Below are 19,300 nucleotides of genomic sequence, written 5' to 3'. Positions count from 1 at the left end.
TGGATAGGTTTACGGTACATTCATACTACTTCCCCCACTACCTCCAATTTATTTTCAACTCTTTTCAGTCTGACTTCTACCCTAACTATTTCATTCAGTGTTGCTCTTACCAGCATTACCAACGTAATAAATGCTGTATCTTACTTAAAGTTCAGAGAATACTTTTAGTCTTGACTTGCTTAACTGTGATTAGCGTTAGGCACAACTGACTTTTCGATTTCATCTTTCTTGAAAACACATTTATGATCCTTCTCTGTTTCTTCTTGGTTTTTGTCACTGATTTCTTGGCCACTAGCTAAAGTTACTGCTTCCAGGGTTTGTTCTGAGGCCAGATTCCCTTCTTTATATATTCTCCCTGGACATTCTCACTACTTGAATTACTTTCTTTAATAGATCATGGTTTAGTAGTTACAGCTCTCCCGTGCTGTAGACCCATAATTCCAATTGCCTACTTAGTGTCGCCTGCGGGATGCCCCATGTACTGCTGAAATCTAGTGTATTAGTCCATTCTTGCATTGCTATAAAAAACTACCTGAGACTGGGTAATTTTTCTTTTCTTTTCTTTTTTTTTTGAAACAGAGTCTCGCTCTGTCACTAGGCTGGAGTGCAGTGGTATGATCAAGGCTCACTGCAACATCCACCTCCTGGGTTCAAGCGATTCTTCTGCCTCAGCCTTCCGAGTAGCTGGGACTATAGGCGGGTGCCACTGCACCCGGCTAATTTTTGTATTTTTAGTAGAGACGGTGTTTCACCATGTCAGCCAGGCTGGTTTCAAACTCCTGACCTCGTGATCCGCCCACTTTGGCTTCCCAAGGTGCTGGGATCACAGGCGTGAGCCACCGCACCCGGCCGAGACTGGGTAATTTTTAAAGAAAAGAGGCTTAATGGGCTCACAGTCCCACAGGCTGTACAGGAAGTATGGCTGGGGAAACCTCAGGAAACTTCCACTCATGATGGAAGGTGAAGGGGAAACAGACACATCTTACTTGGATGGAGAAAGAGGAAAAGAGTGAAGGGGGAGGTGCGGCACACTTTTAAACAACCAGATCTCATGAGAACTCACTTACTGACATGAAAACAGCAAGGGGGATATGTGCCCCCATGATCCAGTCATCTCCCACCAGGCCCCTTGTATTTATTAGTCCATTCTCACGCTGCTATACCTAAGACAGGATAATTTATAAAGGAAAGAAGTTTAATTGACTCACAGCTTTGCAGGGCTGGAGAGGCCTCAGGAAACAGAATCGTGGTGGAAGGGGAGGCATCTAATCACATCCCACCAGGCTCCTCCTCCAATATTGGGATTACACTTTGATGTTAGATTTAAGTGGGGACACAAATCCAAAACCCAGATCCAAACCAGATCACCTAGTATGTCCAGACTGGAATCATTTTCCTCTAAAACTTGCTCTCCTTTTTTAATTTCCTGCCTAGGTTAAAGTTACCATCAGCTACCAAACTTGAGATTTATCCTAAAATCCTTCATCTTTCTCATCCCTTATAGCTTAATCAAATGTCCAGGTTCTGCTGTCTCTGAATCTCAAACATTTATGGTCAAGATCTTAAACTCTTATCTGCCTCTGGCCTGGCTACTCTCCAGCTTTTTGTATATAAGTGTAATTTTCATAAAGTACAACAATTGTGTAAAACTTCCTTCAGTGACTTCCTGTTTGCTCAGATGGAGTTTGTCTTCTTGGAATAATGTAGGAGACCCTTCATAATCCAATTCTTGCATAATTTTATCTTCTATAACATTCCCATAAAATCACACAGTTGTTTTTATCTCCCTGAAAGCATCATGCTGTTTCATGCATCCATGACTAAGAATACTTGTTTCCTTGTTTTCTGCTCAGTGAATTCCTACTTACTCTTCAAGACTCAGGGATACTTACTTTACTTTAGGAAGCCTTTTTGGACTTCTAAGGCAAGTTAGTCACTTGCTCCTCCCTACTCTCATAAAACATTTTAAATAGCTTTATAATAGTACTTATAACATCTCTGCAAATGGGAGCATCTTGATAGTAGAGACCATATCTTATATTTTCCCCAGCACACATTATCTAATACCTGAATACAGTATATGTATGATACCATCTTCATCAAAGTGGCCTACATTGTTTTTTAGTTTCATATTTAAAAAATAATTATCACTTCCCTTCAGTCCATTGTAGAATTACTTTAACCAAGTTGAATTTTAATGTCATGTTATAGCTTTTATTCAGAGCATCTTTATTTTTTTTTAAAAAAAAGCCTTGTGATACCTACTTCTATATTGTTATTAAGCTTTCTTTAAGGACATCAAGTATAGTAGAGCACAGTGTCTGGTAACATATTATCGGTATTTGAGACTGCAGTGGGAGTCCCCCATCCCACCTGCAGTACGCAGAATTTCATGGAAATGAAGGAAATGGACCAGAGTTAAGTTAGGTTAAGTTGCCTTAAAAATTTAAATGGTTATATTATCCAAAAAGACCACAATGAGATTAAAAAAATAATTTGAATTGTGTTTCTCTACACCCAGAGGTCAGTAGAGTTTTTTTGTTTTTTTAAGCCCTCCATCTAGTTTTTAAGAATGTAGATGGAGGGTTTTAAAAAAAATCAGAATTAAATATTATTTTAGGTACTATAATATAATGAAAAGCGTTAATGTTTAAATGTTTCTTTAGCTGGGCATAGTGATGCACACCTGTAGTCTTAGCTACTTGGGAGGCTGGGATGTGAAGATCATTTAAGCCCAGGAGTTTGAGGTTATAGTGAGCTATGATGGTACCACTGCACTCCAGCCTAGGTGCTTGAGTGAGACCTTGTCTCAAAAAAATATCATCCTGTATTTGAGAAACATTACACTTTTATCCTTGAAACTTGTTTGATGCTAAACAGCAATGGAGATTTTTTTTGGGTTTTAGTGTACTATTGTCCTTACATTTTGCTTTAATATTTTGCAGAATCCATGCTATCTTTAAGAGGGTTTGTCATTGAGTATCATTTGGGTATTTTGATGTTTTGATGTAACATTGATATAAATATCCCTAAAATTCTTACAAATCAATACAAAATACTTGCATTCTCCATTGTTTAGGACTAAGTATTTTAGTGTACTATAAAATACATGTACCAAATGATGATGTTACAATAGTAATCAATAAAACAGAAATGATGAGTTAAATTTATGTTTGGGTTCATTAGATGTGAAGACATGGTAGATGTGCGAAGGTTAAAGATGCTTCAGATGGTGCAGTTGTTTAAATGTGAAGAAGATGCTGCCCAGGTAAGGAGCAGTCAGCTACATTATGTAGTTAACTTTTCTTAGAAGATTGATTTTATCTAACTACAAACAAAAGTGTACTTTTCATGGTCCTAAAAAAGTAAATTCTTGAAGTCAGGTTCTAGTTTATCTATCTTGTTGAAGAATACACTTTGGTATTCCCAGCTAGTTGATTGATCTCATTTAACTTAATTTTCTCAATGAAATCCTCTATAATCCTCTATTGAGCTAGAGATTGGGATCGTTTATTATTTATTATTGTTGATTAGGTTGTCAGTTACATCCAGGATAAAATCTGGTGGAGCACACTGCATTTTGCTCTCTTGCATCTGCAAGAGAAATTTCAATACCAGATAAACAATTTGATATATTTTGTCGTTATCATCAGAGAACATCATTTCAGTTAGATATAGATAAAATTTTTGATTTTATGTAGTAACACAAATCTGTAATGCAATCCTGATGGATCTACATACAGAAATACATGATCTTTTATTATGTGATATTAATTTTAAAAGAATGCTTTTCTTCAGTATGTCTTGCCTTCAGATTTAAAGAATTTTGAGGAGTAGGACAGGTCATTAATTCATGTAGCTTATCATTGAATGAAATAAGCTTTTAAGACTTTAGGTTATAATTAACGGATTTATTAATCACATGATAGTAATCTCTGTATAAATGACATTTTGATACAATAAGTAAAGAGTTCTGAATCCAGCTTCATTGTTATGTCTTTTTGTTTAGGCAGTAGAATGGCTAAGTGAACTTCTGGATGCTCTGCTTAAGACTCACATCAGATTGGGCGATGATGCTCAAGAAACGAAAGTTTTGCTGGAAAAGCATAGAAAATTTGTTGATGTTGCACAGGTGCAAAACTGGTTATCTTCCTTTTCCACAAGCTCAGTGTTTGAATAGCTTTCTGCATGATTATAATGTAACTTTACCTTCCAAGTACAAGAAGGTTAGTTTTGTTATTCCAGAAGTGTCACAGAATTAAGAAAATGTCAGCTGGTGCATCAAAACTAGCCTGCATAAACTTGAGAGGGTTTACGTTTCCCTGAATACATGTTCTGCATGGTCCCTCTGATTTATGCTATGTATTACGGCATTTTTAAGGCAATCCAACTGTTCATCCACAGAAGTTAATATGAAATGGATGTTAATATCAGTAAATAAGAAACCTCACTTTCTGCATCACACTAGTGTTAGCATAATAATACAGAACTTTTTTGTGGTGAAAAGTGTCTTTTTTTTTTTTTTTAAGACACAGTCTTCCTCTGTTGCCCAGGCTGGACTGCAATGATGCAATCTCAGCTCACTGCAACCTCTGCCTCCCAGGTTCAGGCGATTCTCATGCCTCAGCCACCTGCGTAGCTGGGATTACAGGCACCGGCCACCACGCCTGGCTAGTTTTTGTCTTTTTAGTAGAGATGGGGTTTCACCATGTTGGCCAGGCTGGTCTTAAACTCCTGACCTCAAGCGATCCACCCGCCTCGGCCTCCCAAAGTGCTGGGATTACAGGAGTGAGCCACCGCGCCAAGCCAAAAAGTATCTTATTTTCCCTAATAATGAGTTCACGTTTTAACAGATGTAGTTTCCTATATGGAATATAAAGTGCCTAATTTCACCTACTTTTGAAAGTAGTTTTGATTAATTCATAAGCAGACATTCTTTCTGGCCAGTGAAATTTAAGCAGACTGCGATGGGGGAAACAGAATAAAGTGGGGAAGCCTAACAGAAGGAGACTTTTTTCTAATTAAAAATTTTAAAACAATTTTTGTTTTTTTGAGACAAGGCCTTGCTCTGTCAATTAGGATATGATGTTTCAGCACAATCATAGCGCACTGCATCCTCAAACTCCTGGGCTGAAGTGATCCTCCTGCCTCAGCCTCCAAGGTAGCTAGGACTACAGGCAAGTGTGGCCAAACTCAACTAATTTTTTTCATTTTTTTAGAGATAGGATCTTGCTATGTTGGCCAGGCTGGTCTTGAACTCCTAACTTCAAGCAATCCACCCACCTCAGCCTCCCAAAGTGCTGGGATTACAGGCATGAATCACTGTGCCTGGCCATGAAACTTATTATAAACTAACAAAAACATAGCTTCCCCTTTATTACTTATACACACAGATGATTTGTAGTAATAAGTGCCACTAGATTTATTCAGTATTGATTTCTAGTAGTGTCACTTAACTGTAACGACAATCTTCCTGCACACTTTCCCCATCCTTCTCTTAAGAATTCTTTTATTACAATTTTATGTTTCCTTTTCTTTTTTAGAGCACTTATGACTATGGCAGGCAGTTGCTACAGGCCACAGTTGTGTTATGCCAATCTTTGCGCTGCACTTCTCGGTCATCTGGGGATACACTTCCTCGACTGAACAGAGTATGGAAACAATTTACAATAGCATCTGAAGAGAGAGTACATAGATTGGAAATGGCTATTGCATTTCACTCAAATGCTGAAAAGGTTTGCTTGTGTTTTTGAAATGTTATTCTCAGTGGTATTGATTATATGTGTTTAAAATATGTTAATTTTAGTAATGTAACTATATGACTAATCTATTTTTCAATATTTATATTAGTTCCGTTGTTACGGTTTGTTTAGATATAATACATTGCCTTAGAGAGTTCAAATTAAATTTCCTTAATCCTTACCAGTGCTGGAGAGCCATGATTGGAGAAATCCAGAACCACCTGGTAGTCTTCTTCTCTTTACACTTCTCTCCTCACCAAGCCTGGTGTCCAGAATATGCCCTCTGTTCTTTAGAGTATCATGAGTTCAATCTCTTTCGTTATGCCTGGAAGGGAAACTTTTTGCTTTGGCAACTGCTATTAATTGTCACACATTTTTTAAAAGGCACCTTGTGATTTTATAAAGTCGGGACATTAAAAAAATAAGAATAAGGACAAAAGTAAAATGCTTTTTTATATGTGTTCTTTAAAGATTCATTCTAGAATTTATTATTCAATGAATTAAGGTCATTAATTTCAGAAACAAAAAATAAAATATGCAGGGTTATTTGGACACATTTTCAATAGAACTTTTTTCTTACTCTTCATAGTAAGAATTTATTCTACCCAAGCCTTACATATCCATTCTGAAAAGGAACTTTATTATGTAGTTAATTTTGTTTTGATCTCTTACAATAAAAGTTTATATGTAGGGAATGTTCGATACACTTTGAGATATTAGCAAACCTAACTTGATCCATGGAACAGATGTTGCAAGGAACCTCAGGAATTAAAGTTTCTATCTGAGTTATGAAGTACATCTGTTGGGAAGGGTCCATAGTTAACTCATTCTCAGCTGGTCATTGAACTCCGTAGATCAGTGTTTGATTAACATGGGCCTAATGATGATAAGTGGAAGTATACAAAATAGTGTAACTTGTTTATCTACTGATTGTTTCAATGAGAATTTTTTATTATTATGAAGTATACTATTAACATAGAAAACATACCACAAGTATTCTGTGCAGTGAGATTTCATAAAGTGAACACACCTGTGTACTCAGTGTACTGTTCAAAAAAAACAGAACATTACCAGCACCCAGAAGCTCCCCCCACCCTGTGTAATCACAGTACTGCTCCCCCAATCACCTCACTGTCAAAGGGTGACAATTGGCCCAATGTCTAGCACCACTGATAACTTTTTTTTTTTTTTTTGAGACAGAGTCTCACTCTGTTGCCCAGGCTGGAGTGCAGTGGCATGATCTCAGCTCACTGCAGGCTCCACCTCCTGGAGCTTGTTGTACAAACCTAAGTAAAGCCCTTTGTTATCAGATATTACTTTCCTCTTGACTGTATTCTATTTTATACCATAAGCATAAATATAAATAACCACAACTATAAGCAAATTGTATAGTATAATGATTAGAAAAATATCTAAATTAAATCTTGAGTTTTAAAATACAAAAATGTCCGTTCATGAGTAATGCTGAAGTAAACATGATTAGATAAAGTGTAATGCAAAAAAAAGTTGTAAAAATGAATACTTTTTATTCTCTCTCTCAAATTTTGCAGTTCTTGTGGTTTAATTTAAATGGTAATGGTTAGGGTGGAGTGAAGAACAGTATCTCATCAAGGACTATAGAGATTACCATATTTGAATTATAACCTAATCATTTTATGGCAGTTAACTCAAGCCAGCAGATCAGTTGTTAAATATTATCATCTAGCTGAGTTGTCACATCAGTTATTTATTTGTACTCTTTGTTGTTTTTTATTTATATAATTTTTCATTTGTAATGTCTATATGCTCTTTGAGAACACAGTCTATACCTCCTTCACCTTCCAGACTGCTACATAAACATAAACTGTTCAATAAATGGTTACTTAATATAAATGAAAGAATACTTCTTAAGGACAGATTGAACTTATTTTCCAAATAGTAGTCTAGTTATTTTCTTTCTTGGAAATCACCATATTGTTAGTAGGAATTATGTATTTCATTTTGTTTGTTTGAATTTCTTGAAGAATTTTGCCAATAATAGATCAATCTTATATAGTGGTATACCTGAAGATGCTAAGAACAAGAAAATGCCTTTAATCTACCAAATTTGTATGAGCTTGATTCCATTTCTGTGTCTTTCTTTTCTCTCTTTTTTTTTGTGGGGTGGGGTGATCCTCTGAAACTGCAGACCTGTCTGTGTCTCTTGATTGATGTTGCTCTTTTATTTGTTGCAGATTTTGCAGGACTGTCCAGAAGAGCCTGAAGCTATTAATGATGAGGAGCAATTTGATGAAATTGAAGCAGTTGGGAAATCACTTTTGGATAGATTAACTGTTCCAGTAGTTTATCCTGATGGGTATGGGGCATGTTCTTATAATTTTATTTTTTATTGGTGTGGTCTTAAAGTGAAATCATTAAAAGAGGAAATCTATTCTTTAAAAAGCCAAGTAAATTAGGTTTGGTCCACATCTTTAACTCCTACGATGAATTAGTTTAAAATGAAAAGAAATCCACACCTCTTAGCCACAGTAATGGTACTTGCCAACAACAGATGCGTTACTTCTTGACAGCTTGTTGTAGAATGATCATTGACTAGATTAAGACACTGGGTTCTAGCCTTGGCTATGATGGTGGGGAATAGTGTGACTTGGGGCTTCATTCAGGAAAAGGAAGAGGGGACAAGGGATTGATGTTTAGTGAGTTCACAATATATGCCAAGTACCAAGTGAAACATTTCACCTTCATTACTTTTGACCAAAGAGGACCAAACCAGTATGATTATTCCTGATTTACAAATGAAGAAACTGAGGCCCACAGAGATTAAGTAAGGCTCTCAGGATTTCACAGCTTCTAAGAGTTAGCATAAACTTACAATCTCAGGTATGTCTGTGTGGCTCCAAACCCATTCCCTTTGTACTGTGTTATATGGCGTTCTAATTTCTTTATGTGTGAAGGAATGGGGTCCTGATTATCTTACACCTTTCCATTTCAAATAGTGATAAAAATATGAAATAATCTGATGCAAAATAAATGGATCAGGAAAAGAATCAGGAAGAGCTTCAGCCGGGCGTGGTGGCTCACGCCTGTAATCCCAGCAGTTTGGGAGGCCAAAGCGGGCGGATCACAAGGTCAGGAGATGGAGACCATCCTGGCTAACACGGTGAAAACCCATCTCTACTAAAAAGACAAAAAATTAGCTGGGCGTGGTGGCGGGTGCCTGTAGTCCCAGCTACTCGGGAGGCTGAGGCAGGAAAATGGCATGAACCTGGGAGGCGGAGCTTGCAGTGAGCCGAGATCACGCCACTGCGCTCCAGCCTGGGTGACAGAGCAAGACTCCGTCTCAAAAAAAAAAAAAAAAAAGAATCAGGAGGAGCTTCATCCCTGGTGATTTAGACCTGATTCTTACTGAAAATAATTTAGAGATAATCCAGAGGATATTTAATTCAAATGATAGAGTAACCAAACCAGTAAATAAAAATACAAGTACCTTTAACGTTGTGGTATAGTGTGATGAGTCTGTGCACTCTGGAGCCAGAGGTCTCAGCTCTACCACTTACTCACTGTAACACCTTGGGCAAGCCACTTAACCTTTGTGCCTCAATTCCCTCATCTAAAAACTGCCATGTAACACTCATACCTTCCTCAGGTTATGGGGGTGTGGGAATTACCTGAGCTAAATAAGTATAAAGTACTTAAAACAGATCTGACACATAATAAGCACTGCTACTACTGTGCCATGATCTTCCAGTGATTATTTGGGATTGATATTGAAAAGATGGCATTTTATTCCCTTGAAATAATATTATTCATAGTCTATACTTACGTTATCTCAAGCCCCACCTAAACTTGAACAATCAGAGGTAGCCTAAAGTCACCTAAAGTTGTATTACACATCTGCAATAAAAGACAACAAAATTCAGCTAGTAGCAGAATTACAGGCGTGCTTCTGGTTGTTCCATTCCAGGATCCCTTACCCTCCCTGATTCCTACATTTCACAGCCAGTTGTCACACAGTCAGTCTCCTGTTCTACCCATGTCAGCCTAGGAACACCTCTCCCTGGTATGCTTGCTTCAGCTTCTCGTCTGTGTTTCACAGATAGTCCATGTGTCATTTCCTCATCCATCCTTTTAAGATAAAAGAATGTTAGTACTATATATTCAAAGTTCACACCCACCTTTAATATTTTGGAATTGCTGTTTTATTCCACTTTATATTCATATTAAAACTTATGTATATCTCTTTTAGGTATTTTGCTGAATTAAATATTTCCCAAAGTTGTGTGTAGTGTTTTCCATAATTATTAATATAATGGTAATCTGTTTATGCCATGTATAGTTTGTTTGACAGGTTAGACAGATTTCTCTTTTATACCTTCTCCTGGTAAAATAAAAGAGATTGATGGTCTCTCTGGATTCACTGCTCAAAGACCTAGGTTCAAATTCTGGTTTTTCCCTGGGTGACCTTGCTTACATCATTTAACTTGCTAGGCTCCACTTTTCTGATCTGAAAAATAAAGAGATTAACCTGATAATTTCTAAGAAATCTTCCAGCTCTAAAAATATTCTGTGATTCTGAATACAGTATCTTTGAGAGTAGAATAAAATTAATAATTTTATCTGTTAATGTACCAAAAAATGTCATAACATTAAAAAGAATATTTATTTTGCTTGCCAGCTCTATAGACAAGTGGTGTCCCCAGCCGGTAGCACTCAAGTACCTGTATAAATTTTATGTTTGTGCATCCTTCTGGACCCACATATTTCCAGTGTTTCATTGTTCAATTTGTTGCTATTATCATAACTACACATGATATAACCTTTATACCATCAATATATTTTTCTCATCATGTCTTAATGTATTTTATGCCATTTTAAAAAATGTTTTTCCTGCTGAATTTCCTGCTCAAACAGTATGATCACCGATGAACTGATATTTACACATAGGCTATCTCATGTAGATTTTTTATGGTAAATTTTTGCTTCTATTTGTATTCACTGCAGTTAATAGATTTGTATTAATCTGAGGTTTTTCTGTGTGTTTTGATTTTTAGAACCGAACAATATTTTGGGAGTCCAAGTGACATGGCTTCTACTGCAGAAAACATCAGAGACAGGATGAAACTAGTTAATCTCAAAAGGCAGCAGCTGAGACATCCTGAAATGGTGACCACAGAGAGCTAATAGCTACCAGCTACCTACAGATTTGCAGTTCATAATCCCGCATGTTGTCAACATACTACAGCATTAGCCACCACACCTTAAGATGCATTTCACAGCCAAAATAAGTCTCATTTCTTTTCATGACACATTTCTCTTTACATGTTAACACCTTGCTACTACCAAGGCATAATTACTTAACATGCTTCGAGGCTGTAGATTCCAAGTATCTTAAAAGAAGGAACTATAAACATTGCACTGAAAACTTGCTTTAAAGCTTTACCTGACCTGTCAGTTTGTAGACAAACAACTGATAATAAGCTTTGAATGGTGCTAATAAGAGTAGGAATTCTCTCTATTAAAAAGAAAAAAAAAAGTTGCCCTTCCTCCACAGGTGATTTAGTAAATTTAGACAGTAGTTAAACTCTTGTTAGTAGACAGTGGTGTCCTCAAAATTTTACTTTGTAATTCTTCAGAATTGATTATTTTTATTGTGTCAATACAGAGAAAGCCTTTCAGATCTTTGATATATCATAGTCATTAAAAGACCTTTTCCTATTTGTATTGATAATGTATTAAAAGTTGTTTGTGCTTAATAAAAGACTTCTTTAAACATCTTATTTAATTTAGTAGTTACATCCTATTTCCAAACATGAGTGCCTTATTTAAAAGGGCATTCTTAGGACTGTGAGGATGGTTTAATATTTGTTTTTTCATGGTGGTTGCATGTATTTTAGACAGGAAATACATATGTAAGCATGTGTATATAATAAATAAGCATGTTTTATCATGAAAAATTATTGTGAACAATTTAGATCTTTAAGAACTTATTAATAATGGAATACTATTTCTAATTTTTCTCTTTTTCAACTTGAAAAATATTCTCAAAATTATTAACTACCCTGAAGATACTTTGTCTTTAGGGGAGGAGGGCTGAGGAAGAAGGCATACATAATTACTTCAGTGTAATCCTTTATATCAGAGTAATCTTTCAGGAACTAAAATAGCAATTGTTAATAAAATTTAGTTTCTCATTATAGTCTAAAAGCAAAATAAATTCTGAAGTAGTCCAATAACAGAACTGTATGACCCCTTTAGAAATAAAATTTATCATGAAATGCTAGTTCTTTTAAGTTTGTATTAAGTTTAAATGGTAAAATGCATATAATTTAAATTTTATGTATTTTTATTTCAGAACATTTTTTAAAATATTAAAAATTATTTTTTAGTCTTGTAGTCATTACAAAATTATAAACGAGTTGTATACTGGTTCCTTTTTGAGGTCTACAAACATGCTCGTGTATCTTCCAATGCAAAAAAAAAACCCCTCCCTTTTAACCTGCTAGTTTTTCCAGCCTTCTTCACTGACTGACAGACTTCTTGGAGAAATCCACATCCAGTGCCCCTACATCCTCATCACTCACTACTCAGCACCTTGCAGTCTGGTTTTACACAGCACTCTACTGAAACTGTTCTTTTGAAAGTCAGCAATGGCCTCCCAGTTACCAAACTGAATGGTTTTTTTCTCCGTCTGAATCCCTTACCCTTTTCTCTGCAACATTTACACCATTGAGCAACCTTTCCTAGACAGTGTCTCCTTCCTTGAAGATGCTATCCTCTGAAATAACTGTGAGTACAGTCGCATAACCCTAATTTAAGATGTGCCTGCTGAACATGTGCTCTCTCAGATCCTGTCCTCAGAATGCTTTTGGCTCTTTTCTCGGTATCTCATCCTTAGAGTTTTTATTTTATACCAATGTTCTGGATTACATACCTGGTCCAGAAATCTAGACTTGTACTTCTTTTTAATTGCCTAGTTGACATTTCAACCTTGATTAAAGATTGACAATATTTATCACCTTTTCCTCCTGGAACAATTTAGGTTAATGGTGCAGCCTTTTTTCCTAGTCAAACATGCCAGGAAGTTCAGGGCAAAGTTCAACTGCTCCCTCTTGTCTTATGTGGTCACTGCTTCTGAGAACATCCAGGAAGTTCTTTCTATACTTGAATCATCTTCTCAGTCCTTTGGGGCTTTACTGCTATGAGTATGAACTTTTGTGATTATTTATTTCAGTCTTCATGATGGTGCTATCACATTCTACAGTTGTTTATGTCTGTACCCAGTAAGCTCTTTTGAGGGAAGGAATCTTGTCTTCTCCTATTCCCAGTCTTGCTCATGCATAACAGATGCCCATTCCTCCTAAATATGAATGCTGTATTATAGGCATTAGTAATAATCCCTGTTACATTGCAGTCTGAAGTATGTTTTAAACATACTTTTTTAAAGTTAGAACTGACTTACAAGTGAATCTATTCTTAGATTCTTAGATACTAACTACTTTAGATATTTAGTTATACTCAATAACTAAATATCAATACTCAATATCTGTTTCTTCTGAATTTCAGAGTAGTTAGAATGTTTTTCTTAAGACTTTGCTAGAAAGGAACTGGTTTGTTAGTAATTCTGCCATCAACTCATGGAGTTATAATTGCCAAATGAGTTAATTTTTATATACCTTAAGCTATCTTGCCTACAAAAAGTAAAATAAGGCAGGATTCATAAATGTTACTTGTAAATTGAGTGTTTCACATGAGGCCAAGTATGATTTTAACATAATGAATATCATTGCTCCTCATCTGTAAATTTGCTGCTGCTTTCATATGTGTATCTGTACATAGAGTTATGAATGAAAATCCAGTAATGCCCTAAAGCAACTTTCTTCCATAGGGTCAAAGCTCACTTAAGGTAAACGTGTGAAAAAAGTGACTGCAGTGTGTTTGAAACCACAAGCTGTTTCTATGTCATAAATTAACATCAGCTTGCAAGTCTCTGAAAGAACCACTCATTTGTAATTGGTATATATGTCACAACCTCCCACATTCCTTTAGCCCATCTCAGGGAATTATTGAAACGCTGGCAGGGTTAGTTTCATTTTGTTTTGGTTTTTTTGGGTTTTTTTGTTTGTTTGAGGATTTTTTTTTTCTTTTATCATTTGTTTGCTCCTGTGTAAGCTTAATATATAATGGCAGTTTGGCATCTGTTCTTCGCACATGTCTAACCCAGCAGAGTTATGCAAAAATGATGACTTCATTTTAGGTCAAATTGGCTTTGTTCCCAGTCCTCATTGTTGGTCACTTTGTTCAGTTCTGGTGACTCATTGGTGATGTTGATGAAACTGCTCAGCCTGCCAGCTGGGATATTGATGGCAGGTCTAGGCTTCATTGTTAGGTAGAAGATTGAATACTTCTCACTTTATACAAATTTACATTGGCTATTGCTCCCATGTGTTAGCTAGTCTTAACATGTTTGTTATTTCGTTATCTTATTAGCTGACATACGGAGTGGTATTATTAGTGTCGTACTCCTTAGCGTGAGCATGACAATTAAGTTACCTTACTAACAGTGATGAGTAAACCATACTCTGATCTAAACCCATTGTTACCAATGATGTGATTATGAAGTTAGCTGAATCTATGGTCTACATTTGAAGAAATAGTTCAGAATTCTCTACTACATTGTAAGTTACTTGCTAATAGAGATTGGGCATTATTATGTACTACTCCCCTTCTCACATCCTACCCAAAGTACACAAGGCCGTAGTAAAATACTGTTGCTACTAAAAACTAAACATACTGTGGTTGCTAATGTCCTTTACATCTTCAGCCTATAGGGAATGGTACAGGCAGAAACAAGCACCATTAAGTATATTATCATCAGTAGTGAGATCTGTATGATTAGGATATCTTTGCTTAAGCCCCCAAAGGAAAAATTCTCTAGCATTAAAAACATGGCTGGAACATAGCTAAGCAGTTAACCTAATTAGTAGACTTATTGTTAACGTTCAGTCCTAAAAATGAAAAGCTTCAGTTGGGAGTAGAAAATATACTATGCTGGTATATAGAGCAACAAATACCCTGATGAGATAAAATGAAGTAGAAACTTACCATTTGACATTATTTGACTTTCATACATGCTACTGAAAAGTCTAGGTTTAGCTAAGAAGCATAAATAATGGCAGTACTTGTAGAGGAAAGAACATACCAGCTAAAACAAGAACTGTAATGAATATAATGGAAAGTGTTTGGAGCTTGAATACTTGGCTTCAAAAATCTGGCTTTGCCATTTACTGTTAAAAAAATATCTGAGAATTTATCTCAGGCTGTAAAACAGAGAAGTCATACCAATTTCAAGAATAAAATATGATATAAAGAATTGTTGAAGCCAAAATATCCAGAAATAAACAGAATGGAAGGTATCATTGCTATAATTATCTTTTCAGAATAAAAAATAGAGTATTCTTTATCCTTTCTGTTGTCTCACATGACAAGCATGGGATGGTGAGGAAATGGCATATTGCCTATGTTCGCCGCCCCACCCCCTTAGTTCCACCACCCCTTCACCGTCACCCCCAGTTCACTAGTGTATCAGAATGCATCTTCAGAATTACACACTGAAGATACAAAAGGTCCAGTTGGTAAGCTCATCAGTAAATAACAAGGCTTTGAAATCTGACAAATTAGCTATTTTTGTAGGAAGATAATAGAACAGCAAGATGGAAGACAAGTGATGAGTATCATCTGTTTTGAGGTTGACAAGGTGTGACATAACCCTGTTAATAGACACAAGTAAAAGAAAATCATACTAGGATTGGATATTAGTGAGCGAGCACCGACCAGTAGAAACAACAACAGCATAAATCTGTTATTTAAGTATCCCAATAATGAGGTTAAAAAAAAAAAAAAAACAGAACAAAGCATGAAAAGACCACAATTAGTGCTGGCTATGCTTAGAGAGGAGCAGTCTCTTGGTAAACTCAGGCAGTGATGATGAACAGAAAATGGCCGACTGATACTGTAATAGAGGCATAGAACTAAGGACACTCCGTGAGCTGGCATAAATACAGGGGAGTCTTTAAGACTGAAAAAAGTTCATGGGTATGACACTTAATATGACTCAACATTACTGCAGAATTTTAAAGCAAACATGAAAGCTTGAGAATAAACACTAGTCCCTCTACTTCAAGAAAAAGCAGAACCTGTACTAGAACATGAAGAACTTAGAGATCAAAAGACAGCCAGAACTATGATGAAATATTTTGAAAGCAGTGGGCACATTTTTAAAGATTTTTTTTGGAGAACTTTATGAGGCTGTATGTATAATTCCTATATGTAATTTTATAGGAATTCTTAACTGAAAGTAGTTATCAACTGCTACTTATCAGGAGCAGTGTTATTAGGGATTTTAAGTTAGGCATGTAGAAAACTTTCTGACAAAAGGGCTATTGAACTCCAGCCAGTTCCCAGTGAATCTCCAGGAGGCACCTTAGAAGTCTTCACAAGCTGAATACCATGTCTTTAGGGTGTCCAAATGCTTCTGTCTTGGGGGAGAGATGAGAGATGACTGGGTGCCTTTCCACTCAGAACACAGTAGACCACTCACTATTTATGACCAAGCCTCACTTCTTTTCTATTACAGTTACAGATTCTTTTTTAGTCTGGAAGTTAGGGTAAATAAAATTTGTATGTTTGATTTTTCTCTTAGGAATGTTTTCTCATCTTAACTCTTATGTTATCTTTATGGCCAACAGATTTGCTCAGAATATATCATCAAAATATATGTATTGTATTTTGTAAAGGTGAAAGGATCGAAATACCACTTTGACAGTTATAAACCAGAGTAGATTTGAGAACTGATTGCTCACATCACACTTACGAATAGTCTCAGAAGCCTTTAAGAGAAACTTACTTCTCAATGGACACTTAGAAGAATTTGATGATCTTACTGTCATAAAATCAGTAATGAAATTCTCAGCAAAACTATTTGGTAAACATTGCACCCTGTATTTTTACCCAACATCTTGTTATGAAAATTATCAAATACATTAAAAAGTTAAAATAATTTTATAGTGTACTCACTACCTAGATGCTAATTAGCATTACCTATGCTTGCTTTGTCACATATCCATTCATCATTTCATATTATTATTTGATGCATTTTAAATTGCATATCATTAACTAGAGTTCATTGTTGGCTTTTTTACATAAAATTAGCATGCAATGAAGTGCATAGAAATATGTGTTCACTGAGGTTTGGCAAATGCATATAGTGCTATGGAAATAGGAAACGTTATCACCACCCTAGAAAGTTTCCACACTGCCCTTTCCAGTCAATTCCTGTCCCTACTTGACCCTCAAAGGCAACCACTGTTCCTTTTTCTACCATAAGATTTTTCTGTTCTAAAACTTTATATAAATAGAGTCACGCAACATGTACGCTTTTCTACAAGGCTTCATTTTTTTATTGCTGTTCTTTTTTATTGCTGAGTAGTATTCCACTGTATGACAATATTACAGTTTGTTTTCTTAATTTCCTATTATTGATAGATACCTGGGCTGTTTCCAGGATTGGCCATTATAAATAAAGCTGCTATGACCATTCTTACGTAAGTCTTTGTGAACATAGGTTTTCATTTCTTTGCAGTAAATTCCTTGGATTAGAATTGCTGGGTCACAGGGTAGTTTTAAAAGAAACTGCCATACCTTTTTCCAGTTCAGTTTTATTGTGCCCTGTATTTTGTATTTTGATGTGCATAAAGGTGTAAACTATTTTTATGATCCATATTGAAGTATTAGAAGAAGTGAGTTTGGAATAACAATGGCATTGTTCATGGTCAAGGATGACAATTGGAACTATCTGAGGAAAGCAAAGACCTGTCTGCCCCAGACAGCTCCTCAAGGGGTTCCTATGCCTGAAACTTTAGCAATATTTCACTCCTTGAAAGGTTAAAGCCCAACCATGGTGATATGTTAGCTAGAAGAAACAGCACTGGTTTGTTTATGTTACTAACTTTCACCACCCGTTTTCAGTAGGTAAAGTAAGACTGATCATTGAACAGAAAAGGTTATTTCTGTGATGAGGTTGAGGGGGTAGTGGAAAGCATGTATTGCTAGTAAGCCCCAGGTACAGCTATGTGAGAGAGAGTCACCTGGACAGGGAAGTCCCCCAAATGGTGGCCAGAAGAGCAGAAAACGGGGTGGGAAAAATTCTACCTCACAGTTTTGCATAGGGGATAGCTATGCTTTTACGGGACATTTTAGCGTTTAAAAATATTTTCAATATTGTCTCTTTATTCAATACCACCCAGCTGTAGTTTTTTCACACTCTGATGACTCTCTTATCCACTCTTTTACCTCTCCCAGCTGTTCTATTACATACAGCATTCACCTGTATTAGTCTATAGAATTATAATCATCTGTGTGTTTCTAATGCTCATTTTCAAAAATATGTATGGTTTATTCGATTTTTCCTATTAAAATTTTAAGGGCTGGGAAATTTGGCTTCTACTGTAAATCCTTATAATGTTCCACACATTGTAAATATGCAATAAAAATGTTAACAACTATAATGGCAGCAGGTTTTGGTATGTATTTCTTTGATATATTGTCACTTTGGACAATAAGTTTGATTTCTGTTAATAAAAGTTGTTCATAAAATCTAGGGAGAATTAAGTCACACTGGTCTCTATAAGATAATCTGATGAATTCTGCATCTTTGAATCAATTTGAGTTATTTTTTGTAAAGGTTTAAATTGTTTCTAACAGTGTTACCTAAAACCTTTCATTAAATCAAAAATGTAACTTGTATATTCTGAAATAACCTGGAGTCTTAGAAGACAGAGGCTTCTGCTTCCCTCTCCCGTGACCCCAACAATCCCTTCCCACAGGCTTGGCACAGAAGTTCAGTGCTTTCTCTACGTCTCATGTTGTCAGAAATAGGTTCTCACCATAATAGACAGTGGTGAAATTTCCATTGTTCCTACTGAGAAGTCCATTTTTAAGGCATCAAAGGTGAATGTGTATTTAGGGATGGAGGAGGCATATTACAACAAAGCTGTATTTAAAATAACACAATCATATCATGCTATAAACAATAGCAGTTCCAGAATGGCTACTAAGGATTTTGGACTGCCAGACTTTGGAAATTGGCAAGCCTTATACCTTGTCCAATGAAGTTAAGTACATTTGAGTGACAGTTCAACATACAAGCAAAAAAATATATAGAAGACATTGTACATTTGTTATTAATGGACATGTTTACTTTACATGTTAGAGTATCCATCCATCTCTAGGTTTTCCATTAGATGCTTCATTGTATCCACAAACCTGTTTCAAACCATTGAAGTGATCTTACCATTGTGTTTGTTCAAAATAAAATTGGGAGAAAATGTGAATGAGTCAATATCAACACTTGACATTCCTGTCTTTTTAATACATTTTATTCTTTTGTTTAGAAAATTTTCAGAATCGGAAAATCAGCTCTACTAATTGTCTACACATACACAAATACTAATAGTTGCATCCATCTGGGAGTCCTGTATTGATGGCAGTATCAGGCTTTCCTAGAATCTTCTGTTAGAACTGGG

The 19,300-nt window shown here is 35.9% G+C and overlaps 1 protein-coding gene across 6 annotated transcripts in view, besides 3 other annotated features; it reads left to right on the top strand.

Annotated features, from left to right (window-relative positions):
- Nucleotides 1–19,122, top strand: part of SESTD1 (SEC14 and spectrin domain containing 1) — a 163,155-nt gene extending 144,033 nt beyond the window's left edge. For 4 of the 6 annotated variants that reach the window (NM_178123.5, XM_047446273.1, XM_011512141.3 and 1 more), the window contains 5 exons: nt 3,187–3,268; nt 4,010–4,132; nt 5,544–5,735; nt 7,955–8,076; nt 10,772–19,122. In NM_178123.5, the coding sequence (NP_835224.3) occupies nt 3,187–3,268; nt 4,010–4,132; nt 5,544–5,735; nt 7,955–8,076; nt 10,772–10,901 (649 nt within the window). In that variant the 3' untranslated portion in view covers nt 10,902–19,122. Of the gene's footprint in view, nt 1–3,186; nt 3,269–4,009; nt 4,133–5,543; nt 5,736–7,954; nt 8,077–10,771 lie in introns of those variants that run through there. The other 2 variants (XM_047446274.1, XR_007084411.1) reach the window with 2 other exon arrangements.
- Nucleotides 1,948–2,117: an enhancer, noted in NCBI's record as "experimental_56707 CRE fragment used in MPRA reporter constructs". NCBI's record gives its function as "activates a minimal promoter by MPRAs in K562 erythroleukemia cells, with activity observed for the non-introgressed 2:179983495 variant allele {active_cell/tissue: K562}" and the evidence as "EXISTENCE:reporter gene assay evidence [ECO:0000049][PMID:34662402]".
- Nucleotides 12,792–12,992: a silencer, noted in NCBI's record as "peak3950 fragment used in MPRA reporter construct". NCBI's record gives its function as "represses an SCP1 promoter by STARR-seq MPRAs in K562 erythroleukemia cells {active_cell/tissue: K562}" and the evidence as "EXISTENCE:reporter gene assay evidence [ECO:0000049][PMID:32103011]".
- Nucleotides 14,072–14,272: a silencer, noted in NCBI's record as "peak3949 fragment used in MPRA reporter construct". NCBI's record gives its function as "represses an SCP1 promoter by STARR-seq MPRAs in K562 erythroleukemia cells {active_cell/tissue: K562}" and the evidence as "EXISTENCE:reporter gene assay evidence [ECO:0000049][PMID:32103011]".
- Nucleotides 19,123–19,300: the final 178 nt, after the last annotated feature.

This window comes from Homo sapiens, chromosome 2, assembly GCF_000001405.40.
Source record: "Homo sapiens chromosome 2, GRCh38.p14 Primary Assembly".
NCBI lineage: Eukaryota > Metazoa > Chordata > Mammalia > Primates > Hominidae > Homo > Homo sapiens.
This window is presented reverse-complemented; position numbering and strand designations above follow the sequence as displayed.